Source organism: Homo sapiens, chromosome 7 (genome assembly GCF_000001405.40).
Source record: "Homo sapiens chromosome 7, GRCh38.p14 Primary Assembly".
Classification (NCBI taxonomy): Eukaryota; Metazoa; Chordata; class Mammalia; order Primates; family Hominidae; genus Homo; species Homo sapiens.
The window spans coordinates 45,564,246-45,586,492 of record NC_000007.14 but is presented as its reverse complement, the minus strand read 5'-3'; the positions used below and the strand labels follow the sequence as shown (position 1 = coordinate 45,586,492).

General features: G+C 53.4%; 1 protein-coding gene across 4 annotated transcripts in view, besides 3 other annotated features; it reads right to left on the bottom strand.

Annotated features, from left to right (window-relative positions):
- The window catches only part of ADCY1 (adenylate cyclase 1), a 148,977-nt gene extending 136,624 nt beyond the window's left edge, over positions 1-12,353 (bottom strand). For 3 of the 4 annotated variants that reach the window (NM_021116.4, XM_005249584.4, XM_005249585.3), the window contains exon 1: positions 11,311-12,125. In NM_021116.4, coding sequence (NP_066939.1) covers positions 11,311-11,949 — 639 coding nt within the window. In that variant the 5' untranslated portion in view covers positions 11,950-12,125. Of the gene's footprint in view, positions 1-11,310; positions 12,126-12,304 lie in introns of those variants that run through there. The other variant, NM_001281768.2, reaches the window with a different exon arrangement.
- Positions 3,656-4,651: an enhancer, noted in NCBI's record as "H3K27ac-H3K4me1 hESC enhancer chr7:45621441-45622436 (GRCh37/hg19 assembly coordinates)". NCBI's record gives its function as "activates a minimal SCP1, AML or CMV promoter by ChIP-STARR-seq in naive H9 embryonic stem cells {active_cell/tissue: H9 hESC(naive)}" and the evidence as "EXISTENCE:reporter gene assay evidence [ECO:0000049][PMID:30033119]".
- Positions 11,640-11,739: a silencer, noted in NCBI's record as "silent region_18165". NCBI's record gives its function as "represses an Ori minimal core promoter by ATAC-STARR-seq in GM12878 lymphoblastoid cells {active_cell/tissue: GM12878}" and the evidence as "EXISTENCE:reporter gene assay evidence [ECO:0000049][PMID:35858748]".
- Positions 12,551-13,111: an enhancer, noted in NCBI's record as "H3K4me1 hESC enhancer chr7:45612981-45613541 (GRCh37/hg19 assembly coordinates)". NCBI's record gives its function as "activates a minimal SCP1, AML or CMV promoter by ChIP-STARR-seq in primed H9 embryonic stem cells {active_cell/tissue: H9 hESC(primed)}" and the evidence as "EXISTENCE:reporter gene assay evidence [ECO:0000049][PMID:30033119]".

Here is a 22,247-nt window from a genome sequence, read left to right as displayed (position 1 = left end):
GGGTACTCAAGAAATCACTGTGCTGGTCTCTCTACTTTTGTGTATATTTGAATTTTCCATAATAAAAATAAAATAACACAATTTTTTAAAAAATAATTTGACAGGCTCTCCCTGAGCTCCCGTCATCAGGTTTCTAATGCGTGAAGCTATGTTCAACAGACCTGGGAAAGGATTCTCACGGGGACCTGGAGAAGCAGCCGTCTTTGGTGCTTCCTGTGTAACCACTGGCACCTCAGTTCCAAGGGGGTGTTAGGGCCGCATGCAGCCTGTTCCTCCATGGTGCCCCTCTCCAAGACAGCCCAGCCTCTCCTCCCAGGTCATGCACACTCGCGAGGTCAGCTTAGGAGGGAGAAAGGAAAAAGCACTGGTAGAATCTGACATAAGGACACCAGCAGGAAAGTGAGGAACACAAGGCAGGGAAGTCAGGAAGACAGATGCAAGCCCCCAGGTGGTAGAGCACCCTGGGGACAGCTCCCATCAAAGACAGTCCGCTCCCCACGTGTCTCAACACATCCCTGCCCAGAAGATCAATGAATGACACGGTGACCATCTGAACCTCCCAGAGAGGGTAACACCAGAACCTCAGAACAGCGCCACTTCCAGCTTGTCCACCCCCACCCACCCACAGCACCTGTGACACCAGCCAAAAGGAGTCACACCATCAGCTGAGCTCTCAGGCACTGCCCATTTCTGACCCTTGAACAAACTGAAGCCAAGGTGCTTGGCATAAAAGATGTGCCCACCTGGGCCAGGTGTGGTGGCTCACACTGTAATCCCAGCACTTTGGGAGGCCGAGGTGGGTGGATCACCTGAGGTCAGGAGTTCAAGACCAGCCTGACCAACATGGAGAAACCCCATCTCTACTAAAAATACAAAATTAGCCGGGCGTGGTGGTACATGCCTGCAATCCCAACTACTCAGGAGGCTAGGCCAAGGAAGGAGAATCACTTGAACCCAGGAGGCAGAGGATGCAGTGAGATGAGATCGCGCCATTGCACTGCAGCCTGAGTAACAAGAGCGAAACTTCATCTCAAAAAAAAAAAAAAAAAAAAAGATGTACCCACCCAATGGGACCCTGCCAGTGACGAGATCCCACCCAGCACCAGGACATGGTCAGTGCTCATGAAACATCTGTGATGTCTGCAAGTACAGATTTTTAAAAATTAACTATCAGAGATATTTCAAAATCTTTAGGCTAAGCCAATGTTTCCTAAACTGTGTTCCCTCAGTTAATCACTGACACTGCAGGGCAGGTAGGGTTTGAGAAAACAGCTGTCACAGAAAACAAGTTCAACGAACAAGTATTTAAGATCCCTTTTTGAGGCCACGGTTGTTTCAGAAAGGCAATGCATTCTCTTAAGAAGAGGCTATTCCTCTCATAGGGGAATGAAGGCAAAGGCACTCATGACTTCTGGGAGCATTGCCACTGAGCATGGCTCCAGCACAGGCTCGCTGCACTGGCTGGCACATGGTGCACACCGAGGTGACCAACCAGAATGCTCACTGCCACATGCTCCCTGGGGAACAGAATGTTCCAGAACAGGCTGCCCTGACTCCCGGCACAGGCCTGCAACTGCCTGGCATCTCCTGAACTTTCCACCATACTCCTAAGCAGACTCGCCCTCATCAGCTGCATGCTTACCACAATAATGCTGCTTCCAGAGACTGGACAGTAGAGCTGAGAAAACCCACAGGTGCCCCCACAGGCTGGGAGAGAAGCCCTCCTGGAGTGTAACCAGGTGATGCTTCACATGGAAAGCCTAGATGCTGGCCACAGGCTGGGACCTCTAGACCTGGCTCTAGACTGTGTGGTAGGTGGGGGGCACAGGGAGCATAGAATGCAGTATTAAACAGGTTTATCGAGAAAGCACTGAGCCCAGTTGTCAGGGAAGGGCGCTAGAAGGACCATGTCCAGGGACAGGAGGTCAAGTGAGTCCTTAGGGCTAGTGGGCAAGAGCCAGCCAGAGAACCACAGTTAAAGACATACAGCAGGGGGCAGCGGGGGGCTCTGTCCCAGGCATGGCCCTGCTGTGAAGGGGCCATCCTCTTTGTCCACAGTGGGTGCCTGACATCTCCACACTCGGACATGTGATGCCTTGGGCCCCACGCCACCTGTTGTGTAAACAACAATTCCCCATCCATCGGAAGCATCGATGCTCCCAGGAAGTGGGGGCCACCAGAGCCAGGGTGTGCCACACGCAGCAGGACGGCAATCAGGCGAACCATGTCAGTAAGAAAAGGGCACTCAGGGCCTGGCATGGTGGCTCACATCTGTAATCCCAGCACTCTGGGAGGCCAAGGTGAGGTATCACCTAAGCATAGGAATTCAAGACCAGCCTGGGAAACATACTGACACTCCATCTCTACAAAAAATAAAATTAGCCAGGCATGATGGTGCACTCCTGTAGCTCTACCTACTCTGGAAGCTGACACAGGAAGATCACTTGAGCCCAGGAGTTCAAGGCTGCAGTGAACCATGATAATGCCACTGCACTCCAGCCTTGGCTACAGAAAGAGACTTTGTCTGAAAAAAAAAAAAAAAAAAAAAAAAAAAACAGGGCACAGTGGCTCATGCCTGTAATGTCAACACTTTGGGAGGCCAAGGCAGGTGGATCACCTGAGGTCAGGAGTTCGAGACCAGCCTGACGAACATGGAGAAACCCCATCTCTACTAAAAATACAAAATTAGCCAGGCGTGGTGGTGCATGCCTGTAATCCCAGCTACTCAGGAGGCTGAGGCAGGAGAATCGCTTGAACCTGGGACTCGGAGGTTGTGGTGAGCCGAGACAGCGCCACTGCACTCCGGCCTGGGCAACAAGAGCGAAACTCCATCTCAAAAAAAAAGAAGGGGGAAAAGAACACCAGGTGGCCAAGCACCAGGAAGCCAGGCCAGCCAAGCACCATGCATCTGCATTTTCTCAGGCTGAGCCACTTCCCAAAGGCTGAAGAGTCTACTTCAGAGAAGAGTCTACTTGGGAGAAGGAAACAAGGAAACACTGTACTCTGATAAAAGAGCTGCTCTGTATTTTTAGAATCAAAACAAAAAGTTGTGCTCAGATTCAGAATGTGCTACCAGCATGGACTTTCTCCTCTGCAGGGCTCAGAGGCTGTAGTGCAGGGCTCCCAGCACTTCTGGGGACCCCACCACACTGCTGGCAGCATCCTGTCCACCTGCTCCCAGGTTCCTCTAAATGTTACCAATGCTCTTGCACTTGTATGCACACACAAGCATACACGCATGGAAACACATGCACATGTAAGAACACACATGCATGCACACATGCACATGGGCATGCACCGACATACAAACATGCACATCCACACACGATGTGTACAGTCACACGTATCCACACGCACATGTGTGCACACAGGCACATGCCCATACAGAGGCCCCACCCAGAGAGCTATGTTCAGGCTCTACGAAGTCACACCCGAGCTCTGGGAAGCAGACAGCTCTTCTCAGCTCCAGGCTTTCTTCCCAACCCAAACTGAAGGCAGAGCGAACACTAAAGCCTGGAGATCAAAGCAGTTCCTGCCATCCCTTTAATCCAGGGAGATGGGATTGTTCCAGGGACTGTGCTGCCTTCAGCACAAAGCCAGAGCTAGGCTGCTGCGGTGGGCTCCTATTCTCCTTGCCCTGCCCCCAGGGATTCCCCCACACCTCATACATCCTTCCTGGGGCTGGCATCTCTGCACGGCAGAGGGAAACACACATGGGGTAGGAGGACAGATGGGACCCCCTTAGCAAAATACTGCAGAAGACACCCCATGCTCCACTGAGAGAAGAGCCCAGATCAGCCTGAAGAGGGCACAGGGAGCTGAAGGGTTAAAGGGGACAGAGGAGAAACACTGGGAGGGAGAACAGGAAGACTGGGCAGTGGAGGCAGGCCTCCCACCCCATCCCCCACCACCCCCCACCCCCCGCCAGGTGCCTGCCCTGGCCTGCACTAGAGAGGGGCACAGCCGAGTGGCAGACAGCCCCACTCCCTTCCCTAAGGAAGGCTTTAGAGTCCTAGCCCGGTCCCTGCCTCCACAGCTCCCAAGTCCCATGTGGACATGCCTGCCCTCCCACTAGCCCTCACTACACTTCCATGATGCAGGTAAGGCTGGCAGCCTGGCTTCCCTTCACAAGCCAGATTCTGAGATTGCCAAGGTCACGGAGCTGGAGGTGCAGGAACTGGGCTTCAACCCAGGTCTCTGTGGTGGTGCTGCTGAGACACAGGGCACAGGCTGCCCTCCCTCAGAGACCAGGATGGCACATCTACTCAAAAGACCCACATATTAGTAACAGTGAAGTGAGTGTAGGTGAGCATGAACATGTAAGTGTGCATTAGTTTACGAGTGTGCATCAGTGTGCAAATGTGCATTGCTTTGTGAGTGTGTGAATCTATAAGTGGGTGAGCATGCATGTATTTGTGAGTGTACTGTGTGAGTGTGTGAGCTAGTGTGTAGGTACAAAATGAGTGTGAGGGCGCATGTGAATGTGTAAGTGCATGCACGCAAGTGGGTATGGATGTGTGAGTATGCACTGGTTTATGAGTGTGTGTTTCTGTGTGATTATGTGCATGCATGTTTGGGGGGAGAATGAGTGTGAGTGTATGCATCTGGGAGGATTTTTGTGTGGGTATGTGCATGTATGTGTGTGTGTTTATGTGTGTGTATGAGCATGTGTTTATGCATGAGCATGTGTGTTTGTGTATGTTCATGCAAAGAGGAAGGATGGATATAACTCATATGCTCAAATGGAGAGCAGGAAAGGTCTCTTCCTATTACCTTGCTCAGCCCCTCAGGGTAAAGGGAGGAGCCTGTGGTCGTGTGAACTCCACAAGGGGGTTATGTGGACATGGATAGGTGGTCAGGCTGCTTCTCCTGCCCAAACCATTGCCCCTGCCACTTCAGCCCCCATGCTGCTTGGGGCTCAAAAACCTGGCTGAAAAGGGGTCAGCCTGGCATGATGGCCACAGGGATGCCAGCCTCCACTGCGGACACATGGCCACCTCCGACTGGGGCTGTTCCACAGGGTGTTTAGTACAGTTGTCAGAGAACACTTGGGCTAAACAGACTATGCCTGCCACCTGCATTCTGGGAGTCTCTCCCAACATTTGATCAAGACCAGCGCCTCGCTGCAGCTGTTCAGTTTTACTAAGTCACAGACTAACTAGTAGGTCATCAGCTACATACAGCTATGTATGTAAGTGACGGTAAGGGGTAGGTCCCACTTCACTGAGCCCAGAACAGTGTGGGGAGGACAGGGAACGCCTCCCAGGCACAATCCATTCATATTAACTGGAGGATGTATCTGTTCTACAAAACCACAGAAGGGAGCTACTGTTCCCTTTGGTGAGGGAGAAACTGAGGCATGGGGATCATCCCAAGCCTAAAGTCACACAGATACACTAGAGCCCCTGAAATGCCAGAAGAGTCACCCACCTCACATGCCCACCAGCTTCCGTCTGAGTCAGGAAATGGTCCAAGGACATTTCTGGGCATCTGCAGGAACCTGTGAACCTAAGGAGTTGATCCCTGGCCCTCTCAACCTCAGAGATGTGACAGGAGAGGGACATCAACCTAAAACCACCGTGAGCCCCAAAAGGGCAGGCAAACAACTCTAAAAGCCAGTGGTGACAGTGGCAAGCGGACACCACTGACCGCAGCCTGCTGAGTGGTCCCCTCAGGTCCTCACACAGCCCCCAGCACACTCCCACCTCCTGGTGGCCACACTCAGCACTGCTCTTGGGAGAAAGGGCAAGTCCACAGTGTGGTTTTGCCCCACTTGGGCCTTTGCGGGACTCGCCCCACTACTCTCGCTCGCTTGCAGCCCTGTGCTTGGTCCAGTGATCCTGGCTGAGCGCCCAGTCCACAGGGAAGCCGCCTCAAGTGGTTAGGCCTGGTCTGTCCCCTGTGCACACCTTCAAAGGTCACCTGAATGTCCTGCCCTGTGGGACTACAGTGTGAGTTATTGACCAGGGTCTCCCCAATAGACTGCAGCTTCCCAGAGGAAGGGAGGTCTTATTCTCCCGGTACCCCAGCCCCGTGCTCAAGCCTGGCACCTAAACACCGTGGGGTCATGGGAACCAGAGCAGAGAGGCAGGGAGGCCCCGGCAGCTGCAGACTCCACCCCTGTGTCTGCTCCCAGCTCTTCTCCGGTCCATGAAGGAGCTGCCCCCCGGCCCCTCAGCCCACTTTCCATCAGTGCGACCAGACTCAGCACATGTCTAGGGCTCCTTCCACAGTGCAGCCCCTGCTGGGCACATTGTGGAGGGGCAGAGAAAAGCCCCTGGGCCCACTGGACCACTTCAGAGGTGGAGTGAGTGGGAGCCCCTGGCCCGATGCCCAGGACCATTCTCCCTCTCTTTTGTCTAGACTCATTTCCTGCTCACCCTCATCCCAGCTGCCCTGACAGGGGCAATTCTGGAAGCTTTTTATGTTAAAGTTAACTGCCCTTGAGGAAGGATAAGCCTGGGGGTGAAGGGAAATGGACCAGGGGACCACCCACCCCTACGAGAAAAACAAAAATGGGGGCGAGGGGGGAAGGGGGAAGGGGGGGACGGGGCAGTTTCCAGGGGCATGGATGTCCCCTGCTGTTGCTCCCTAAACACTAAACACAGGCCTGGGGGCAATCTGGAGCTGGAGGAAGCAGCGAGGCTGCCACAGGACTGAAGCCAGAGTCAGGAGCACACTGTGGGGGGCCATGCCCAGGACAGCAGCAAAACTGACCTCAGGAAGAGTGTCCAGCCAAGGACAAGGAGACTACCTTCAGGTCGCCAGGCCACCACACAGCAGGAGGCAGGGAAGCCCACTCCCTACCTTCACACAGCCTGACCCCTGTGCCAGGAGGAGCACCCCACCTCTTACCCTCCCTGACCCGGCTCTAACCCTAGCCCTGTCGCTGTAGGCAGTGGCTCCACCAAGGCAGATGGATGCACAGCAGATGGGTACTCCATGGTGACAGGACCAGGCTGCAGGCCACGAAGATAAGCGGGCCAGTGGGAGGGGAAGTGGAGGAGGGGTCCGTGGGGGAGTAGGGGCCAGCCACAGAAGGTGGGGCCCAGCCAGGGGAAGGACCAGCAGCGGGAGGGGCTGGTGGGGGAGGAGGATCCCAGCCGGGGAGGAAGGCCCAGCCAGAGGAGGGGCCAGCAGGGGAGGTAGGGCCAGCAGAGGGAGAGGCTGGGGAAAGGGAGGCAGGGCATGGGGTTAACTGGGAGTTGACAGCATGTTGGGCAGTGGGCACAGGGCACACAAAGGCATACGGGACACAGCCTGAGGGCTGGCAGATTGGTGTCACCAGCGCACACCTAGGCCACGAGCTTTGCTATCAACAACCAGGTCATCCAGGGCCCTTGAGCCCTATGATTCTGCGTGCTGGGGTTAGGTTGTTTCACCTCCAAGCAACCAAGCCATGGTTCTGAACCAGAGCTCAGACATAACTGGGGCTGCACAGGGAAATTTCAGCTGACTCCCATTTCTCCGTGATAATCGTGATTTCTGTTATCCTGCCTACAGCTAAGAACTCGGCAGAACAGAAATGTATTTCATTTACATTGATAAGCAACGAAATTGAAAGCATATAATTTGCACACTGCAATGGATCCCTACTACTTCAGAAAAAAATTAGGTAAAAATACAATATCCTGATTCACACTGGTCAAAAAGTGGGTATTTCAAGGCTGTGCAGAGTAAAGTAGCAAAGGGAGGAAGCTCAGAGCTGGCAGAGACCAGGTCTTCCTCTTGCACACATGTGCTGCACCCTGGTTCTCCCCAGGCAATGCAGGGCACAGGGTGGGAAGCGGACTCCTGTGGGAAGGACTGGGGCCCTGCCCAGGCCCCCCTTTCCCAAGATTCCAAGCTGCTCCCTCTGAGGCTCTCTGAGTCTGTGAGTGGCATCACAAGAGGCCAAGCCCAGACATCCAGTGTCTCCCTTTCTCTGCCTTCCTAATACCCCATGGTCCTTGGCACTCACCCCTACCCCACCCCCATGATCTTCAGCCCACCCTGGCAGGCCTTGCCCCCTACTGACTGTGAGCAGCCAAGGATGTCTTGAATAGGATGCTTTCAGTTCTGACAGGTGCTCGGCTAAATAAAAATGGATTGTATGTCATATAGGTACAATTAGTGACCCAAAAGCAAGGGGCTGGGAGAGGAAAGGAACTCAGTTCTGGCCACTTAGCACATATTTATGGATACCTCCCCCTCAGTGCCGGCCCAGGTAGGAACAAGGCTGTTTCCCCTAAAGACCTCTCTGCTCAGGGACATCAGCATCAAGCACTTCTCCGGGGGAGGAGCTAAGCCCTAGCTACTCAATTCCACCTGTGCTAATAGTCATGCACACTAGCTTTCAGCGTTCTCTCCTCTGCCCCCCAGAGTCCTGGGGCAGCTTGGGCTTTACAGGAGAGGAACCAGATGCCCCAAAGCACCCAGGCTGCATTCCCAGAGCCCTGTGCACCAGAACTGGAACAATGAATGCTGCAGGGAACCCTGAGAGCCTTGCTTTGGAGGGGCAAAGGCTCTGGAAAGAAAACACAAGAACTTTCTCCATAGCTCAGAGCAGGGACTTGAACCCAGGCCTCAGAAAGCGCAGGCTTTTTCCAGGCCTCCTTAGGGCTATCCTTGATAAGAAGGCATTTGGGTCTCAGAGAAAGGGGTGGGATTCAAGGGAGGGAGCTCCTTTGCCCCATGGAGTTAACCCGACTCTGGAACTCACTGGGCTCAGCACCAGGAGATCACTGTGGAGATCTCAGACTCTGAAGCAGCATCCTGCTATGTATGCAGTGAGGGAAATCCCCTGCAAAGATTCCTTCGTTCATTCACTCCATTTTTCATCCTCTTTGGGACATCCACTCCACACCCAGCATGGCTACTACCTGCCCAAAACTCAGTATGGAGGACAAGGTGCTGTCAACGAGTGACTGCACTGCACAGTGGCACAGGTCTGAATAGAAAGTGGATGGTAAAGCAGTGAAGAGCAGCAGAAACATCAATGCTGTGTAAATGCGTGTGCTGTCTTCTTCACCATCTCAAGCACCAAACTGCAGAGCTCATTATGGACAGATTTCACAGGCTCCTGGAATTCTCTAATTGGAAAGCAGAATCCCTGGGAATCATCTGCCCTGCTCCCCCCACTGTAAGTCTCCCTGCATTGATCCCCATGTGTTTGTCAGTATCACTACCACCTGTATAGACACGTGGACTTGAATAGAACATTCTAAAAAGGCCAATATGTGCTTTTCCAATAGGAAGTGTTTACCTTCACTACAACCCTGCAGGGGGCCATTCTGCCCTTTACACAGGTGAGAAACCTGAGGCTCAGTGAGGGAAGGCTTTGGATTGCCCAGGGAGTCACAGCTAGCAGGGAAACCCAGATGTCTGCTCCCTAAGAATCCTTGCTCCCAGGATGGGCTTCCTTCCCCACTACAGTGACAGTCACAGGGGCTCATCTTATCCCAGGGGGAGAGGCAGAGTTCCCTGTGTCCAGAAACTCCTTTATAGACTCTCCCCTCTCTCTTTTTTAATCTTTAATTCTCTAAAAGAAATGACTAGAGGCTATATAGGAAATGTCTTTATTTTAAAAGAGAAAGACAATAACGCAGCCTTTTATTACACCAGCTGACTCCCTGGTGTAATAAGAGAGAATGCAGTGTGGTTGGGATCCCTGGGCCTGCCCAGGGACCAAGCTCAGCCCCTCCCTATTCCCAAGCTGCCCTGGCATCTGGTCAGATTGGGGAGGCCGTCTTGCGGTTGCGGGTCTGGCTGTGGGGGCCAGCATGAGGCCCAGGCTAAACACAGACAGATGGGGGGTGGAGGCAGTAGGAGATACAGGAATGCCCCCTGAGACTGATAAGGCAAGGCCCACGTGCTGCCCACAGGAGGCTGTGGAAGAGCCTCCTTCCCCTCCAGGACATGAAGTCCTCTGGCTCCTTTCCCCTTTCCTCAGCCTTTAGCCATCCTTTTGTGCCTCTGCCCTTCACCTCTACCTCTCTTCCTCTCTTCCTCCGACGCCCTCTTTGACAATTCTCCATGTACTCCTGCCTTCTTCCCTCCCGCCCCTGCCCACGGGTTGAGCACATGGTGGTCTCTCTCTGACCCTAAGACACAAGTCCAGTGATGTGTCTATCCCTGTGCCAGGTTGAGCATCTCATGGCTCCTCTGACTGTGTGCTGCCCCTGGCATCACAGTCTAAGGATGCCTCCTTAGATCCTTGGGTGCTGGTCCCCCGGGGCCGGGCTGTGGGACTCCTTACCACCGCCCCCCAGTTATTCTTCCCTAATCTCTCTGGATTCAGCTTCCCCTCCGACCCCTTACCTCTCCCCAGTTTGCTCCCACCACTGCTTCCTTTCGTGAGATGGGCTCCCCCACTCCATTTGAGTCATACCATCCCCCTGCTAAACTGCAGCTAGAGGCAGAAACAAAACCCTCCTCAGGGTCTTCCAAATCTCCCCACCCCCCAACTCCCCAGCCCCATCCCTGCGGCCCGTTGGAGATGGGCACAAGGGGAAGCTCTCAAAGCCCCGCCGTGGGGCAAAGACCTCTGGTCCACGTCCACCTCCGGGCAGTTGGAAGAGCAGGCTCCTCCAGGGCCCAGGAAGAGTCCGCGGGAGGCAGACAGCGTCCCCGTCCTTGCAACCATCTCGCCCGCCCGACTGGGAAGACAGTGACAAAGTTCGGGCGCAGAAAAGGCAGGGTCAGGGCAACCGCCGAGTGGCAGCGGCAGGGACTAGACTGTGTTTGACCTTGGCAAACCCCACTCTTTCTGGGCCGGAGGCATGTCCACAGAAGGGTGGCCAGCAAGGCTGGAAGAGCCGAAGTCCTTTCCCACCACCCATATACCACCCTCGGGTCCGCAGGGTTGGGAGGCGAGCCCAGCACGCGCTCTAGGTGCGCAGGGGAAGAGCCCAGCGCTGCGCGCAGAGCCGGCCTTGGAGCTTGCCCTGGGGGTCTGCTCTCCTCGCCCACTTTCAGTCCCTCTGTGGGGATGGGTGCGGCAAAAGACCGGCGGACCCCTCTGGCCGCCGTCTGGCCGCTCATCAGCTCCCTGACCTTGGCCAAACCTTTCTCTCTCCACACCTGTCTCCCCTCTCCACACTTCACGCCAGGGGCGCTTCGTGGATTGTAACTCTGAAGAGAGCCCTGGCCGGAGGGTGCCAGCCCCGACTGCGTCCCCAACTCGTAGGAGTGACCTTGAACACACCCCCACTCGGAGCCTCAGTGTCCCCACCCGCCGCATAGGAAAAAGCGCGCCCGACTCCGGGCATTCCCAGCATCGTCCCAGCAAGTGTGTCCGAGACCAGATGAGGGGTGCGCGGCTGCACTTACCGTCCTCCAGAGACGTGGGCGCTTGGCGGGGACCAAGGTGGCTGTGACCAGCAAGTGCGACGCAGCCACCACGAGCCCAAAGCCTATGGCCAGCAGGCTGCGCACGGGCAGCAAGGCATAGGACACGAAGGTGACCAAAAGGAGCTGCCAAACCCCTTGTTCGGCGGTCGCTGGCCCCCCAGCGGCCCCGGCGGAACCCCGGGCGGGGCCGCCCAGCGCGAAAGGACAGCAGAGCAGCGCGAAGGTGAGGCTGAAGAGCAGCGCCAGCTGGCCGACCTGCTGCAGCTGGGGCACCTGCAGGGACCGGACGTTGGTTACCACGAGCAGCGCCAGGAAGAGGACGCAGTGCACCGGGTGTGAGCCCTTGGCCAGGCCGGGCGCGGGCCCCGGCGCGCCCAGCAGCTCGGCCAGCGCCAGCGCGCCCGCCAGCAGGCTGAGAACGGCCAGCGCCTTCAGCGTGGCCGCCTGCTCCAGCCGCAGCGTGTAGCCGCGGAACAGCGCCTCCAGCTCTGGGCAAGCGAACTCCTCGTCGCACGCCCGGAGCCCGCGCCGGCGGCTTGTCCCGGCCGCCCGCTCGGCGCCCCCGGGCTCGCCCGCGCCGCCTCCGCCGCCGCCTCCGCCGCGCGGCGCCCCCGCCATCTCAGCGCCATGCAGCGGCCGCGGCCGCGGGCGCGCCCCTCGCCGGCCCGGGGCGCCGGGGCGCGGGCGGCGGCGCCGGGGCGGGCGGGCGGCGGGCGGCGAGGCGCCGGGGCGCGGGGCGCGGGGCGGGCGGAGTTGGGGCGCCGGCTGCCCCGCGCGCGCGCCCGGAGCGCGTCCCCTCCCGCCCGCCGCGCCTGCGCACTGGAGCCCGCCCGCGCCCCGACCGTGGTCCTCGGCGGCGACCGCGCTGCGACAGCCGAGCCCCGGGAGCCGCGAACCTGGGCGCGCACAGCCCGCGCCCCAACTCCGCGTCCTGCGTTCCCGCCCGCCGGAGGAGCCGCGTGACCTCGAGTACCTTCCTTGTCCCCTCCGAGCCTCAGTTTCCCCACCGTGCACAGTGGAACCCACCCTCTTGGCGTCACCTGGGGAGTCGAAAATACTGAAATCCTGCGAAATTCCCTGTTGCGGGGCAGTTAATCTTGGAAAATATGTGCCTTCCCCCACTCAATAAAACCAGGCCACTAGATTTGAGAGGGGCCCGCGTCTGACTGCGAACCCAGGGCCCTCGCCCCTACGAGACGGAGAATCGACGTCCAAGAATCCCCGGGGTCAGGAGGAAGGTGGAGGCCTGGGGCGTACGTCCCTTCCATGCGCATGAGGGACCCCCCGCCCCTCGGCAATTCTTCCCTAAGCTCTAGGGTCGCGGAGACCCTGTGGGCGGGTGCGGGCTGCGGGAGCTGTGCTGGGGAGGCGGCGGTGGTGAAGTCCAAGAAACAAAGTCCTGGGAGTCGGCCCGAGGGATTCCTCCTGGGTACTGAACTGAACCAGGATGGGCTCCTGGCAGTGCTGTGTCCCGGGAAGAAGGTGTGAGGCTGTAGGTGCAGAAATGGGGCAAGAGATGAAAGGAAAAGGGGCGCTGCTGTTTGCCTTAACGATTAGCTGGATACCCGAGAGAGAGCGAAACGTTTTCTTCTAGCAGGACAATTGGGAGGGAAGGACGCTGGCCCATGGGGGTTAAAACCCGCGAGTCGAATTCCACTGCTTACATTCATTCACTATGAGGGAGACAACTTTGTGCTGGTGCTTCAAGTACATGATGTCATTTGGTGCTCAGACGGCCCCTGGGCTGCCTGCATCCCCCTTACAGTGAGGATCTCTCATGATCAGCTCCCTCCAGGAGGCCTAGAGAGGAGTAGCCACTGCAAGAACCCCTGCCTCCTCCGTTATCCCGGCTGCTTCTCGTCCCCTCAATATGGATAGACCAGGAACTGGGATCCCATGAAATAATGGAGACCAGGAGGCTAGGCCCCCTGCAGAAGGCCCCACTCCCAGAAACCAGGATTTAAGGGATCTCGCCCAGGCATTGGTCTATTTTAGAAATGCCCCAGGGATTCCATTAACTCTCAGGGATTCCACGTGTTGTTATACGGAACAAAGGTTAGAATTTGAGGCATTTCCATTTTATCTGGAATTGGTATCAGGTTGAACCATACAAAATTGCCGTTTTTGTAAAAGGGCCAAAGTTGTCACATGTCAGCTCTTTCATATGCTTCAACTTAATAGTTGCAGATGATGACACCTCTAGGCTTTGTCTAGAGTAGGGGCACTTTCCCATCCCATGTCCCCAGTAGCTCACACCAAAGGCCCCCAGCAGACACTTGATGACAGCTGGTCCCTCCTCCTGGAATAGCATCCCCAACAGAACATCCTTTCTGAAACCTTTCTGGCTCCTTCTGGCACAGCTCGTTGCTTTCTCCCCAGTCCCAGTCTTCCGTGAAAATTCATACCCACCACTCTGTAGCCTCATTTTCTGTTCATTTGCCTTCCTCCCCTCTTTGAGCTGAAGCCCTCAGAGGGCAGCACTGGCTCTGAAAAGATGGCATGGCCCAACCTCTGTCACTGACTTGAGAAAGCACCTTCTTCTATCCACTAGTCCCCTGCTTATCCCCAAATAGGAGCAAAGTCTGCAAGATTTTTCTTTTCAAGTGTTAAGATTGAAGTGAAGATTTTCTTGTTAACTGGTGTGGTATATTTTTGGATCCTAACAATTTATTAAAGAAAAGCTGAATAATATCCAAAAAGGATCAAACTACATGAAAATGAAAAAGTATGATAAAGTTAATCTGGGTGCAAAGTTTACAAATAAATGGCACCTTCTTTTACCTGTTTTGGCTCTCAACTTTGTCCTCACTCAAAAAATGACATTCAGACAGGTGCAGTGGCTCATGCCTGTAATCTCCGCACTTTGGGAGGCCAAGGCAGGGGGATCACTTGAGTCCAGGAACATGAGAGCAGCCTGAGCAACATAAGGAAGCCTCATCTCAACAAAAATTTAAAAATTAGCTGAAAGTGATGGTACATATCTTTAGTCCCAGCGGCAAATGAGTTTTAAGGGAGGCTAAAGTGGGAGGATTACTTGAGCCCAGGAGTTTGAGGCTGCAGTGAACCATGATCTTACACTCCAGCCTGGGTGACTTCTCTTTTAATAAGAGTCTGTCTCTTTAAGAAAAAAAAGAAAATCATTGGCAAGATTGGCAGCAACTGCTTTCAAACGAGGTTATAAGGATTCAGATTAGGCTTTGGACGGAAAGAGGTTCAGTCATAGGTGCAGTACCCTTTGCTTACTGTCACACATGCTTGTCCTAATATGAAGTCCTAATAAAGTATCCAGGGATACATGGTGTGGTGTGGTTTACATGTCATTCTCATGTCTGTAGTTCTCATTGATGCTCCATGGCATCTTGGAAGGCAGATTTTATCACCCTCATTTTGTTGATGAAGAAGCAGAGACCTAGACATGCTCTGGAGCTGGCCCCAAGGCACAGAGAGGACCAGATTCTGGTGGGAATCTGGGGGTCCTCCAACTCGTGTTGTTAAACCCTGGGAGGGGTAAGAATTGAAAATTGTTATTGTCAGTGGTGTGGACTTGAGCTGTGAATATGTTAATACTGTCTCCACATTTCCCAGGTTGGAAGAAGAAGGCCTTCAGATGGGCAGTTTGCACCAGGCATAACAGGGAAATTATCTGAGATACGACAAAGTGATTGCAAGATGTCCTCTTAGTGGGTGTCAAAAGTTGAATTGTGGTCCCCTCTGCCCACCATTTATATGCTGAAGTCCTAATCCCTGCCTCATAATGTGGCCTTATCTGGAAATAAGGTCATTGCCGATGTAATTAGTTAAGATGAGGCTATATTGGAGTAGTGTGGGCCTCTCCTCCAATATGACTGGTGTCTTATAAAAAATGTGGACACACAGACACACAGGGAGAACGCCAAGTGAAAATTGGATTGATGCTGCCACAAGCCAAGGAACTACCAGAAGCCAGGAGAGATGGTCCCCTGGAACCTTCAGAGCAACCAGCCCTGCCGACACTTTGATCTCGGACTTCCAGCCTCCAGAACTTCAAGACCATAAATGTCTGTTGTGTAAACCCACCCAGTCTGCAGTGGGTTTGTATGGTAGCCCAAGCCAAAAAATACACCTAACATATAGTCTACCCTGGCTAAGGTTTCGTGTTGCACTGGGTAAATAAAGAACAACAGCCAAGGGCGGGGGAGGGGGGTGCTGTGAGGCCCACAATGAGCGATTCTGCTCTTCGGGGGAGCACCTGCCTCCTTCATCAGAGGCCAGCAAATAGCAGGGCACCATCATCCGCGACATTGTCTCTGCACATCTGGGAGAATGGGCATGCAATTACTTCCATATAGCCACAGATACACTTCTTCTCAATAAAAACAAACTCGTTGGATAATTTGAGCCTGCTTGTTCACATGGTGGGGGCTCTAGTTCTTTCCCTCTCTCTCCCAATATGGGAGGCCGGTGCCTTATTCAAGACATGACTGCAATGCTTCTTTTTTTTTTACCTTTTTTTTTTTAGATTCAGGGGGGTGCACGTGCAGGTTTGTTACATGGGTATATTTCATGATGCTGAGGTTTGGGGTACAGATCCTATCTCCCAAGTAATAAGCATAGTGCCCAATAGGTAGTTTTCCAGTCTATGTCCCCCTCCCTCCCTGTCTAGCAGTCCTCAGTGTCTATGGTTCTCATCCTTTTGTCCATGTATATTCAATGTTTAGCTCCCACCTATAAGTAAGAACATGTGGTATTTGGTTTTCTGTGCAGTGCTTCTTGCTACAATAACACCACTGGGTGTGGCTTTTCACCATTTACAAATCTCTCTAGTCTACCTTTGCATTGGAGCCCCATAACTGTTGAAGGTCCTGGTCTTTGTAGAAACTAAATGAATTGCCCAGATCATGGGGGTGGTGCAGGGTGGGCCCATCCTGGAGCCTCAGCCCATCTGACCCAGTTCATAGCCACCACAGGGGAAACTACATGATATCATGGCTAAAAGAGTGTGGACCCCTGAGGTGGGTTGTTGGGCTAACATGTCAACACCACCCCTCCCAGCTGTGACTTTTAGCAAGTTACTCAACCTCTCTGTGCTTCTCCTCTTCTGTAGTTTGGGAACTTAGCACCTGGCCCCCAGGGTTATGGTCGGAAGAGAGGCCCGCATGCACACAGAGCCTACACTTTATACACACAAAGTATAAAGCAGAGCAACCAGCCCTGTCAACAATTTTTCCTCTAACAATTCAGTGTTCTGGGTAGACAGAAGTGGGTGAGTGCCATTCAAACTCTTAGAGCAAAATATATCCATTTAGGCATCTGGACAGCAGCCATGACAGCCAGGGAAGCCAGCTAACCAGCTTCTGTCCTGGGAGAGCTCATTGATTTCCACTGACTTTGGTCAGACGTTTGGCTTCCAGATGAGTGTGTATCGTACTCCACTCATGCTTTGTCTTTTGGGACAAATTTCCCTTGTGAATTTGTAAAAGAGAGAGCAGCCTCTATATAGTCGATTGACTCTGAGCCACTTGTGGAAATGAGGCTGTTTAGGAAAGAGGTTGCTGATTTGTGTCTATAGGATAGTCAGTAAAGTTAATTTTGTCACAGCAATTTCTAGGTAATCAAATGATTCACACAACAGGCTCAAAACAGTGAAACACTGGAAACCAGCTGACATCAGTGGGGCTCAGCCCAGACAGATCAGACCCTAAGATGCAGCCTCCTCCCCAACTCTCCCCTTCATAGGGGCAGCTCCCAACTCCTGACTTCATCTGATGCAAGACACAGTGTGGGACCCAGCCCCCCTGAGTATTTCCTCTTGGAGCATGTGGGGACAAATGAAGGGGTCTTTAATTCCCTTGCAGATGGCAACTAGAAACCATGGCATGTATATCTGTTTAGGACTCTTCCAGTCAAAAAGTGACAGAAAACCCCAACGCAAACTCAAACTACCTTAATCCAAAACTATGACTGTGTTGGCTGTCATAATAGAAGGGCCAGCAATGGCAGAATCACGTCTACACTCAGCAGGGAACAGCTGAGCTCAGTCAGACCCACCGCTCTGGGGTCTGGGGAGGGCCACTGGGTGGTGACTCCCGCTACTGGCCCATGTCACCCTGCCCGGCCTGGCCAGGCTACATGACCACGGTGGGGGTTGCTGGTCACCCATTTCCTCCAGTCCTAGAACGTGGGAGGGAGGGCACCACCCAGACAGCTGGAACCCAGTGGAAGGGTCCTAGAGCTAAAGGCAGGAGCTACAACTGGATAAAGGGGCTGGAGGGTGAGTCAGCAGCAGCCTGTGTGCACAAGGGCGGCAAGATCTGATCTCACCAATTTGGCCACTCCAAGCATCACTGTTCTGCACTGTGTGGCATTCCCTTGCATCATGGGAAGCAGACTGAGTGAGAGGACTGAGTGAGGCTTCAGAGCCGGCTTTGCCATTCACCTCCATGTGACTGTGGGTAATGCTCGTGGGAGGATTACCCTGGAGGTCTCATTGTCCTCAATGCCATGCCAGGGTCTCAGGCTGGACTAAGGGACATCAGGAGTCAGATAAACATGATTGTGTGTCCTGCCTTGCAGGGAGAACTGGTTGGCAGGAGGAGGTTTATGTATAATCATTGTCACTTATAATACAGTATTGAGCAGAGTAGGTGGGGTTCACTCTATCAGGAACCCTGGCTAGGTGGGAGAGGCAGATACTAACCCAATAATCCTAAATATGTGACCATAAATATACCCGGTGCTTCTAGAGAAAGGAGCCAGAAGAGCATGGCTCTGGCATGGCTTGGGTGTACCCCAACATGCAGAAAAGGGGTCATGATGGTGAGGTGGTGGCTGGTCAGCATCTGGCCCTCACACGACTCTCTGAGAAGACTGGATGAGGAGGCTATTGCCAAGGTCGTAACGTGGGAGGTGGGGGGTGGGGGCTGCACCAGGGTAAGGCGGTGCAAATAGAGGGAATGCAGCAATGGATTTAGGAGATAACAGTGCATGAGGAGCTGCAAGTTGTCAAAGCCATGCTGGGTTATGTGAGAGTGCCCAGCCCCAAAAAGGAAGGGCTAGAGGCAGCAGCAGGGAGACCTGTATTCCCAGAGGTGCAGGATGTGGTACCCTGACACTGGGTGGGCAGAAGCTGCTCTCCCCTCCTACACACAGCTGAAGTCCCTGTGAAGTTTCTGTGTTGCACTGCTGAGACAAGAAGTGGTCTCACAGCAGTGGATGTCAGCCATGGGCCAGGGTGGAAGGGTCTGGATGACCCCGGGATGGGGACCATGGTAGATGGCTAGAGGCTGTGCATCAGGCCAGGCCTGAGTGCTGGACATTGGATTGATTACTGTAAATATGATCTCACTCAACCCACAGCTAGAGATGCCTCTGGAAACTCAGGCCCCATATGGCATGAGGGCACTGATCTCTAAGATTCCATGAGTAGCCATTGCTGGCATCCCATGGTCCCTAATCCTGCTGGCTTACAACATGACCTTCTCCCCTGGGGCCAGCAGAGGGTTTTCCCTTGTATTAAGGGAAAACCAGTGTCCCCAACATCTGCAGGAATGGGTGGGGCTTGCATTTCTTTGATGGCCTCTTTCTTCTGTCTTCTCCCACCATACACCTTCCCCTCATTCCTTTATCCTCTAACATTCCTTTATCCTCTAAGAGCAAAGCAAAGCTCTTCTGCACAGCAAACTTCACAGAGGATGAGAGAAAGAAGGAGCACAGCACTGCTCAGGGGAGATATTTTCAAACTGAACATAAGATCCAGATGTCCTAAGACTTCATTTTCCAGGACTCCATTGGCCCCAGTGCACTAGGACCCTGATGTCCCACAAGTCCCTTTGAGACCCTTTCTGTTTCCCCCACCCCATTTCAGGCCTACTGATGCCCCAGCTTCTTTAACTTCCAGCAAAAACTTTAACACCCCGATACTATCCTTATGCAGAGCGCTGAAGCCTGTCTGTTCCATTCTGTCCAAACTATTGGATGGAGACAGCAGGTAATTCCAGCCCACCCCCACACCCACTTGGGTTTTCCCAAGGCAGAACCATCTTCCCTGATGTACGCCGCACACCACTCAAGAGCCCAAAGCAGGTGCATCTTGGTCTTGTTCTTTTTAATTGCAATTTCTTTCTACTAAATTGAAAAGAAATTAGATTTACAGCAGGTATACTAAAGAACTGCAATTCTCCACTCCTGAGAATGAAGGTGAGCTCTCCTATCTGGTGGAAAACATGGCGTGTGGTACATGCTCTGTCCTTGCTATGCTCCCTGGGATGCTGCAAATTAGAAACCATGGCATGTATATTTGTTTAGGACTCCTCCAGTCAAAAAGTGGAGCTGGCTGGGGGGGACATCACCCTCATAGGGGACTTCCTGAGGTCCATCCCTGTCCATGTTCTATCTGGCTTTCGATCAAGGATGTCAGCCTTGAGTGTGGATTCTTGGGACAGGTTTTTGCTTGTCCCAGATGGACTTGGGAATGACTGCTGACTTTATAAATAGTGCCCGGTCTTTGCCACATATCCTGTTTGGGTGTGTTTTCAATGGACAGCAATTCTTGGCCGGCATGACCAGGATGCCCAAAGGTACTCAGGGAATGTGGCATTGAGAGAAACAGCAGCTGCCCTAGGGTTCTTCCCTGCTGAGCATCACATCACTCAGGAGCATTTGTACAACCAGGCCACAACTTGCCCGCTTTCTTCCAGCACCTCCTGGTTGATTTTGATACATGTTCACACAGCTTTCTCAGGAAGGACACTTTGTGGTGATATCTGGAATCTGCCGGACAAGGGGAGTATATTAGTCAGGGCACCCCAGAGAACCAGAACTAATAGGATGTGTGTATATCTATATATACATACATATATACATATGGAAAAATAGATTTATGTTAAGGAATTGGCTCATGTAATTATGGAAGCTGGTAAGTCTGAAATCTGCAGGGCGAACTAGCAGGCTGGAGACCCAGGGAAGAGCCCATGCTGCAGTTCAAGTCCAATGCCCATCTGTGGGAGAATTCCTTCTTCCTTGGGGAAGGTTGGTCTTTTTGTTCGCTTCAGGCTTTAGCTGATTACATGACGCCTACCCACATTGGGGAGTGCATGCTGCTTCACTCAAAGTCCACTGATTTAAATGTGAATTTCATGCCAAAACATTTTCACAGAAACATCCGGAATAATGTCTGACCACAAATATATCTGGGCCCTGTGACCCAGTCAAGTTGACAATAACATTAACCATCATGGAAAGTTTGGCCAAAGTCAACAGAAGGGAAAAATTATGGATATGGTGACTCTATTTTCGTGAATCAAAATCAAGCCACATCCAGAGACTACCAGTGGTCAAATTGTTTGAAACTGGGAATGTCTTCCCAAATTCAAGACTTGAGGTTTGTGAGGTAAAGGTGAAATTGGCCTGGTCTCCTTCTTTTGAGTGTCTCTGTGAGGGTGGGAAGTGGGAAAGAACCTTCCAGAGAGAGCAGAGTCTCACTGTGGACACAGCCCAATGGAGGGCTGTTGCTTAGCAGAGCCTGCTGAGGGGTAAAGACATTGTGGGGAAGGCTGGGCAGGTGATAAGAAACCATGGACACCCTGAGCCTGCCTCCCTTCTCACCAGCATCCTTACTTTTAAAGAAACAGGGCTGGGGCTTTCCTAGCCCTGGTCCCCATGGTGATCGGCTCAGCATGGTGGACTCTGAACACATGCACACCCATACCAAACTCAGCTCGTGCTCTCCCTGGCCCCTCAAGCTGAGCTGAGATGTGTGCATCTCAAACGGGAGCTGGAGCCAGGGTCTCCCCAGGCAGAGGCCCCCTGAGGGCAGCCTTGTGATAAAGGTGGGTTACTTGCCTCGGACACACTGTGCACAGTTGCGGAGACACAGAGATAGAGGCAGGACCCACCCTGCCCTCCAGGAGCTCGCAGTGCAGGGGTGGAGGTAGGGAGGCGGGAGAGCAAGCAGCACCCAGGGCAGTAAAATCTGACACTGGTGAGGACACTGATATCAGGGCTTGGAGAAGGGGCCACTTCCCACTTGGAAGCACCCGAGAAGGCTGCAGGCAGGATTGGGGGGCCTGCATGCATCCTCAGAATGGGCGGAGTCCCCTGGCCAAATAAGGATGGCAGAAAGGAATTCTCCAAATCCCCAGTGACTTTCAGGGTCAGCAACGCTCTTGGTAACAGAAACTGGGGTTGTCTTTCTGCTGTGTTACGTGTCCTTCTCCCAGGTGGATCACCCACAACTAGGACAAAAGGCAACAGGAATGGGGAGGGCTCAGGTGCTTTCCCCAAGCTGGCTGCCTGGACTTGGTTATTTATGGTAACACTGGGGACCTAAGCTGATGAGCACTAAATGGATTTGTGTAAGCCATCCTGGGGGCTGAAGATGGAGGGGAGGCCAGGAGGGCCGGACAGTCAGGCCTACCCTGAAATGCACTGGGAAAATATTCAAAATAGGGTCTGGCTCGGGAGAGCGGAGTGTGGCGGAAAGTCGGCTCTGACAGCTGCGTCTGAAAGGCCGGAGGAGCTTCAGCCTGAGGATTTGCACTAAAAATAGAATCGCTGGCTTGTGGGTAGAGAATTTGACCCAATTAGAGATTACCAGTTTCAGGAATTACTGGAAAAGAAATCTCATTAGATAGGTTAAATATAGGAGCCAGAAGCTTAAAAGGCCATTTGGGATTAAAAGGAAAACCAAAACCTCAGAGAGATTTTAAAATAAATGTTGCATCTCCTTTAAGGGTAGGGGACTTAGACTGTATAAATGCAGCGGCTGCACTGAAGGGACCTGAGAGATGAGCCGTGAGGTTCATGGAGAGGGCCAGCGGCTCGGCAGACCGCTCAGCAGAGCCTCACTGCTGTCCCTGGACCTGTGCCCAGCGTGGTCCCTGCTGGCCGCTTTTGGGGTTCTGGCTAAGCTGGCCCTTCTCATGCTAAAGAGCCAGGAA